Below are 6061 nucleotides of genomic sequence, written 5' to 3'. Positions count from 1 at the left end.
AGGCAAACATGAATGGAAGTGGAAAAGGGCCTTGATATTGAAGCATAGATCCATCCTTCCTTAACAGGGCAAAATCACAGCGATAACCAAGGTAACAGATCAGGCATCTATTATGCTGAATCATACAAAATTATGAAATTATGAATGTTTGACTCTTTTGACCAATGACAATTTTATATGATTTACCCAATACATTCTAGTTATATTCTGAAAGGTTTTTAAAAGACTAGGATAAGGAAATGTGCCTAAAATATTAATCATAGCTTCTTTCCTTTAAAAGCCTTTAGAAAAGAGGTGACTTTAGTTGGATTTCGCTATTTTTTGGGCATTTTATAGTTTTATTTGAATAAAATATTGACAAATATCCTAGAAAATCTATCACATTAGTAAAAAAACCTTAAATAAATTCAATCAAACAAATATATATTGAGGATTTTCCATGTACTAGGCACAAGATCTCATAGGTGCTAGGAATAGAAAAATGAGTAACATAAAATTTCTAACTTCAAGAGTTCCTAACCAAATTGAGGGATAAGACAAAAATAAATAAGTTATAGTAAATTAATTCCAGATTAAAATATGGGAAGATACCACTTTTCTGGGTCAGTTAGGATAAAGAAGTTTTTCCAGATAAGAAGACAACAGATCTGAGTTTTGAAGCATGACTGTGGGTTAGCCAGGTAGACAAGAGGGGTTAAAGGACATTCTAGGCCAGGAGAGTAATTAATTATACAAAGGCCGGGGGTATAGAGATGATGGAAGTGTTGAAAGATAATGGAGAGTCACATAGAGACACAAAATTTGGAAGTATGTTCTTTTATTGACAGTATCACCTACTGGTAATGTTAATTAACCTTGTCCTGATGAAAATCTTAAACATCTTTGATTTTTTTAATATATAACATCGGCGCTTGAATATTTTCTTCTGAGTTTTTTTAATTTAATTTCCTTGTGTTTCAGATTTTAAAAAGTTACATAGTAAATTGTAAAAGAAGGAAAGTGTTATGCCTTGATTGAGTTACCTAACTTTATTTGCATAGCTATGTACATTTTAAAATAAAGCACCATATCAAAACAAACAATAATATCCCTGCCATGTTATGCAGAGGTATGATTATACACTTTAAAACTCAATTTTATTGTGCCTATATGAAGGCTGGTTGTTGATTGCTCAGAGTTTTTTTTTTTTTCAAAAACATAACAATCTTATTCTTCATCTTAAAGTTCTAAAGTTCAACTATATTTGAATTATCCATAAAAAACAAGTTTTTAATGAAATTCCCCTCCCTCCACCATCCCCTCCCCTCCCCCGCTTTATAACTTAAAAATTACTAAAGCAATTTGTGTGCTAAAGGTGGGTGGGGGCTCTTTGTTCTTAGACTAGGGCAAGGGAGTTTGAGAATCAAAAGATAATTTCGTGAAAGAAAAGGGTGAACAGGTCAAAACAGAAGGTGATACTGAATGTTGTTTTGAAATGCTCACAATAACTTCCCTTCCCACTTGCGTTTCTGGTGACATAGTCTGAAATAAAGCTGTCAGGGCTAGTCCCCCAGGGTCCCTCTGCAGACCCTCTTTCAAAAGCCATAAAGATCCAGGATTCTCCATCTACTCTCTTCTACTTTAGAGTGAGAAACACATAAGATTGAAAGGAAGGTTAAAATCTAAGTCAGGCAACAAGGAGGTGGCTGAAAGGGCTTGTTCACCCTGCGGTGTAATGAAAGCTGTTGGTTCTGAGGTAGAAGTTATGCTTTGTTGGAGACTTCTGGTCGCCTGGAAGTTTGCAATCAAAGAGAAGTCGGAGTCTGATGTGGTCGAGCGCAAGTGGTAGTGCCTCTGCTGCATTACTCAACTGTGATTCAGAGGCCATATGCAGGCATACGTATTGAAATGGGAATCCCTGGGAAGTCCCCAACAGAAGTCTTCCAGTTGTGTTCTGCCAAAGCAGAACAAATCCAAAGGGATCCAGAGTTCCTACTACAAAGATAGTGTGACTGAGACTCATGGCCTTTTCCTGCCACTTCTGTTGTTCCTACTTACCCATAGGATCCTTTGCAAGATAGCATGCTGGCAAGTCATGTCAGTATACACAAATTGCTTTACTACATTGTTAGCAAACATCAAAGTCTAAACTATTTATGAAATAGGTTTCGTTAAAGGCATATAGACGCCTTATCATAATAAATGAATCAGACTCTTCTAGTAAAGGAATACAGAATTAAACAGGGCTTTTCTTAGATATTAACAATTGTACATATACTGAAGACCAATAACACATTTTGAAATACAAATACACACTGACTCCCCATGGGTGTTATATGGTAAGAAAATAAAGTGTTTTAAAAATATGAACAAAATTCAACATTAGATACTGGATTATCCACTGATTATGCTAGATTTACTATAATTTGTGATTATACTAGACTTAGTATAATTTAGTGATTATACTAAAATGTTGACAGGCTCAAAGTTAAGGAGGTAATAGGTATAATACAGTGAAAACTAAAAATAAGGACAGAAGAGGACTTGGCAAAGAAGAATCAGAGCTCATATAATCACCTTAGTTGGAGAATTGTTGCAGATTCAGCATAAGTACAGGATCTAGGGAAATGAAATGGTACTTGAGTAAGATGGCTTATGTTTAGTACATTTGATGATTTCTTGCTAGTAAACTGACTAAACTATGTTACATTGTCATGTTCAGTCCAGCAGTGCCTGACATTTTAGGAAGAGTTTATTGTAGCCAGGCACAGTGGCTCATGCCTGTAATTCCAATAGTTTGGGAGGCTGAGGCGGGCAGATTGCTTGAGGTCACAAGTTTAAGACCAGCCTGGGCAATATGGTGAAACTCTGTCTCTACCAAAAATATTAGCTGCGAATGGTGGCACACACCTCTAGTCCCAGTTACTCGAGAGGCTGAGGCAGGAGGATCACTTGAGCCCAGGAGAGAGGTTGCAGTGAGCCGCGATCGTGCCACTGAACTCCAGCCTGGGTGACAGAGTGAGACTTTCTGTCAAAGTTTAGTGCATGTTAAACCATCTACCTATGTCACACTTGGGGATGGAGGGCATCTTAGGAATGTGGGGATGATGAGAACATTATATCAATTAAGTAGGCTGAGAAAAAATTGACAGCAGGGAGTGGCTATTAGAACAGCTTTTCTTAAGTGGGAAACTCCTCTGTCTCATCAGTCTTTGCTTGTTCTTTGAATTGCGACACCAGAGGAAGAAACCAAACATTTATCAGAGGTGAGGTAACACTACAGAGCAAAACCTAGCGGTGACTCCTTGTTTATCATTCAAGAGTTAACAATAGTCAAAGGACAAAAGGGACACCAAAGAACCCTTTACCTAGTTTCACTTATTACTCACATTTTGCTCCATTTGCCTTATCTGTAAAGATATTTTGAGTAGAAGAAATTCAGATGCTCCTAGATGCTTGAATGTTCTGTACAACATTTTACCTGAAAATCCCAAAGAGATGCTGTTCTATACCTTCCCATTACTTTCCTTTCCTTACTTTAACCCCAAGCCCCCTGGAAGCCTTATTTTTCTTTGCTGGACTAGCATGTCTCTTTCTTTTCTCTCTTGCTTTATAATGGAAACTACTCCTAGAAGCCTTTAGGATTCCAGCTTTATCCAAGGTCATTTCCTGAGTATGCCTCCCTCTTTTCAGACCTAACACACTTTGCTTATCTTTATCAAGCTCTCTACTCCATATGAGTCTCATTTCCACACCTTCTGTCTTCTTAGAGCCTTTTTCTTTCCCTAACAGTTCCATATGCTTGCTCAATTTTCACCCTCAGCCCCCACAAACCTCTCTCCACAGGCTGCCCCTCCCATCTGGAAGCCATCCTCCCCCAGTTACATTAGTATTTAAAAAAATCCTCATTCAGTCCACACTTCTGACCTAGTACTGTATCATTCTCTCTCCACTGAAAGCTGCAAATTTGCATTTTATCACGTCCACCCCAGCCCATATGGGGTCACCCCCTTCAATCCTCCGATATTTTCAGAAAAAGAGAGGATTCTGCTACAAGCGTTAGTCTGATATTAGTGGCTTTTCAGCTGAAAGTTTGGCTTTCTAGTGAAAGACTGCAGCAGATATTGAGAAGTGGATCATAGCTATTGTCAAGGAGAGAAAGTATTGCTGGAGATTCTAGAAGCCCATAACTTCCTTTTTCCTCCTGTGTGTTGAAATGTCAGGTAGAGTGTGAATTAGTGATGAACTGTGCTGAGAGGAAAGAATGCACAGAGAAAAGAGGGGACCAGTTACAGTTTGGATTACAATCTTTCAAATACTAATTAAAATGCTCCACCAACTAAAATTCTGGGGGCAATTATTGGTCTCAGAGTACTAATAATTTTCTTTGCTGGGACATATTCAAGATGTTACTTTTTGACCTTTCATCCTTGCCGTTGAATGATGCACTGAAAATATGGAGGGGTATGATATACCGACCCGAGTTACTGTCTATTCCTCTCCTTGAATAGTTGTTTAAATTTAGGTTCCGGCCGGGCGTGGTGGCTCACGCTCGTAATCCCAGCACTTTGGGAGGCCAAGGAGGGCAGATCATGAGGTCAGGAGATTGAGACCATCCTGGCTAACACGGTGAAACCCCGTCTCTACTAAAAATACAAAACATTAGCCGGGCGTGGTGGCGGGCGCCTGTAGTCCCAGCTACTTGGAAGGCTGAGGCAGAAGAACTGCGTGAACCCGGGAGGCGGAGCTTGCAGTGAGCGGAGATCGCGGCACTGCACTCCAGCTTGGGCGACAGAGCGAGACTCCGTCTCCAAAAAAAAAAAAAAAAAAAAAAAAACAGAGAAATGAGAAATTTAGGTTCTGCTCTGGCCATCAGTTTATTTCTCTGTAAAATGGGTACATTGGATTTTATTATCCCAAAAGATTGGTTTATTCCCTTTTTATATGTGCATGACCATTGTGAAAAATGTTAGAAAGTAGAGTGAGGAAACCTTTGATTGGTAGAGGAAACTGTTAAAATGGGATTAGAAACTTCTCGTTTCTGCCTGGAATTATTCAACTATAATAAAAAGAAAAAATTACTTACCACCCAAAACGATTATAAGTGCTTCTGCCTTCTCAGGGAAATTGCATAAAATAGTGTATGCATTGTTATTTTATTCTTATGGAGATTAGTTGAAATGATAAAAAGTAAGAAAATTTCAACGCCTCTTGCCATTAATTTGTGCTCTTTCGAGGGGCCTACAAGAGTCTGTTACTTGTCCCCTAACGAACTGTTTGGTATACAGTAGCAGGCTCTGAGCTGGGTAGGTGGTGGAGAACCAAGCTGTTCTGCATAATAAAATGAAGCGGAGTATGCTCTTAGGAGCCTAGGGAATGGAACCCAAGAAAATGGTGAAGCAGGGAGGTTTTGGAGGGCTGAGTAGCAAATTGGCACACAAACCTGTTACCTCAACCCTTCAGGAAAGTCTGTTCCACACAAATGCTTTAACAAGGTTTGAGTAGAAAGATAAGAACAGCTAGAGGAAGTTTGACCTAAGTAAGATTGGAGGTCATTGAAAGACAGAACCCAGCTGGAAGGGATTATCTGTTGGACTGGCAAATACTTATTTTAAGATAAGTATTGGAAATTTGGGAGAGTAGAATCAAGACACATAAATTGTCTTATTAGCCTAATTGTCTCTAGTTTATAAAGAAATTACCACCCATGGGGCACCTGTCGTATCTTCTGTTCTTGTGCTTAAAACTCTCAGGAAACTCCACATTTGTGAACTAATTTTCCCTTGAAATGTGGCAAAATCAGCTGCAAGGGCTTTATGTACCAACGTGTAAACTATGAGGACTAATTAAATACAATCCATGTAATACAGTATACTACAAAGGGAGGGATTTGAGTGTCATAATTTTTATCTATAACATATTCTTAATTAAATTTTACCGTGGTACTTTTGTCCAGCTGTAATGATAGAGTCACTGTAAGTGTTCTAATCTATCGCACACCCTCAAATATTTTTCAGTCCCTTAGAAACTTGGGAACTGTTTAGGGAGATAATCAATATTAAGTGGAATTATTGAGCTACTT

The 6061-nt window shown here is 38.6% G+C and overlaps 1 annotated feature.

Moving 5' to 3' along the window:
* Positions 1288-2487: an enhancer, noted in NCBI's record as "CDK7 strongly-dependent group 2 enhancer chr3:117828563-117829762 (GRCh37/hg19 assembly coordinates)". NCBI's record gives its function as "activates an origin of replication core promoter dependent on BRD2, BRD4, P300/CBP, MED14 and CDK7 cofactors, with strong dependence on CDK7, by STARR-seq in HCT116 cells {active_cell/tissue: HCT116}" and the evidence as "EXISTENCE:reporter gene assay evidence [ECO:0000049][PMID:35650434]".

The sequence above is a fragment of the Homo sapiens genome, chromosome 3 (assembly GCF_000001405.40).
Source record: "Homo sapiens chromosome 3, GRCh38.p14 Primary Assembly".
NCBI lineage: Eukaryota > Metazoa > Chordata > Mammalia > Primates > Hominidae > Homo > Homo sapiens.
This window is presented reverse-complemented; position numbering and strand designations above follow the sequence as displayed.